Source organism: Homo sapiens, chromosome 13 (assembly GCF_000001405.40).
Source record: "Homo sapiens chromosome 13, GRCh38.p14 Primary Assembly".
Classification (NCBI taxonomy): domain Eukaryota; kingdom Metazoa; phylum Chordata; class Mammalia; order Primates; family Hominidae; genus Homo; species Homo sapiens.
The window spans coordinates 47,754,416-47,757,003 of NC_000013.11; positions in this window are offsets into that span (position 1 = coordinate 47,754,416).

The window sequence follows — 2,588 nt, forward strand, 5'->3', positions numbered from 1 at the left end:
TGGGATCTAATTAAAGAGCTTCTGCACAGAAAAAGAAACTATTATCAGAGTGAACAGGCAACCTACAGAATGGGAGAAAATTTTTGCAATCTATACATTTGACAAAGGACTAATACTCAGAATCTACAAGGAACTTAAACAAATTTACAAGAAAAAAACAACACCATCAAAAAGTGGGCAAAAAATATGAACAGACACTTCTCAAAAGAAGACATTTATGCAGGCAACAAACATGAAAAAAAGCTCATCATCACTGGTCATTAGAGAAATGCAAATCAAAACTACAATGAGATACCAGCTCACACCAGTTAGAATGGTGATCATTAAAAAGTCAGGAAACAACATATGCTGGAGAGGAAGTGGAGAAATAGGAATGCTTTTACACTCTTGGTGGGAGTGTAAATTAGTTCAACCATTGTGGACGACAATGTGGCAATTCCTCAAGGATCTAGAACCAGAAACACGATTTGACCAGCCATCCCACTACTGGGTATATACCCAAATAATTTAAATCATTCTACTATAAAGACACACGCACATGTATGTTTATTGCAGCACTTCACAATAGCAAAGACTTGGAATCAACTCAAATGCCCATCAATGACAGACTGGATAAAGAAAATGTGGCACATATACACCATGGAATACTATGCAGACATAAAAAGAATGAGTTTATGTCCTCTGCAGTGACATGGATGAAGCTGGAAACCATCATCCTCAGCAAACTAACACACGAACAGAAAACCAAACACTGCATGTTTTCACTCATAAGTGGGAGTTGAACAATAAGAACATATGGGCACAGGAAGGGGAACATCACACACCAGGTCCTGTTGGGAGGTGGGGGCCAAGGGGAGGGATAGCATTAGAAGAAATCTACCTAATGTAGATGATGGGTTGATAGGTGCAGCAAACCACCATGGCACATGTATACCTATGTAACAATCCTGCACATCCTGCATGTGTATCCCAGAACTTAAAGTATAATAAAAAAAATGGCAGTCTAGATGAAGAATTGGACTAATACCCTCAATGTCTCACCTTGTCTATGTATCATCTGTGTTCATTACACGGACCAGCCCATAGCAGCATAGGCAAACTGCTATCTATGGGGTAAGATCTGAGAATTTCCTAACCTCCAAAATTTCATCCATTATCTACTTGAAATAAAATCATTAGAGTTGCTGCTCCTTCCAATCACTCATTTGAATTCAAATATTCTCTGGAAGGTAACAGCCTGAAGTCACTATTAGTTAACTCCACTATTAGTTAACTCCCAGCTAGGATTACAAGACAGATAGCTCTGTGGGATCACAAAACTGAGTGGGTGTTTCCATACCCCATGTGCTGGTACCTGGAGCTGGGTCACCAGAACTAGAGTGGGAGGGATCTTTAAGTAGAGCAGAGAGGATGCAAAGCTAATTTTGCCTTTGCCACTATGTTCAGGAGCTCCCAACTTGGCCCTGCTAGAGCTGCTTTGACAGGTATCATAAATGCCTCCTATGGTTTACAGAAAATCTCTAATTTTTATTTGGTTTAGCTAATGCTGTATCCATGCAACAAGAAAACCACCAATTTAAAAAGTGAGAAATTTAGTTAATCAAGAAGTTGTTTTGGCTTCAAGACACCAAAGTAGTTCGGCTGACTTGTCACGGATTTAACGAAAAGTGCTGGGGTCATGTAGTTGCAATCCAATTAAACATTGTTTCTTTCCACCTTTCCCCTACTGGGGACAGTGGAAGACAACTTAGCAGTTAGGCTTAAATTGGGAAAATGATGATAGGCATCAAAAAGATTTCAGAAAACTAGGTTTTTCTTCCAACTTCTCAAATTCATACCTTTTCCTTTTAATTGTGCTATGCCAGCAATTACAGACAAACTCTTAAAAACTAACTTTGCATTCAAATTGACTATTTCAGGAAGGAATTATTGAGCTTGCATTTGCTAGGTTGATCACGTTTCAGGCAAAAAAAAAAAAAGGGTCCAGTTTGTTTTCAGAATAGCGTTAAAGAATCCTAACTCCAGTCCACTAATTCTGAAAACAAGAGTAGTTAAAACTATTTGAGATTTCACTTAGATAAAAAGTTACATACAGTTATATTGTGCTTACTAATGGATAAAATAGTAAAAGATGATTAACAGGCATAATTATTTGACTGCCATTATAAATCACAACAAATAAAGTGTTCCTATTTCTAGATCTGTGGGAAGAATTTCCAGAATAAAGTGCAAAACATTGAGATGACACTCAGATCACCAGTAAAAGGTCTAAGAAATCATCAGAGAAAAAGAACCACAAACACAATTGATCCTCAGAATCCTGCTGCTCACCTACCCTTTCTGATTGAACTTGCTAAGTCAACTCTCTTAAACTATTCACTAACACACCCATTGCTCTACATACTAAAAAAGAAAATAACTTTTTGAAATAAGGTTTAAAAGAGGTATAATGTACAACATGGTGACTACAGCCAACAACGATATATTGTATTCTTGAAAAACACTGAGAGATTTTTAAGTGTTCTCACCAAAAAAAAAAATAACTATGTGAGATAATGCATATACTAATTAGCTTGATTTAGCCATTC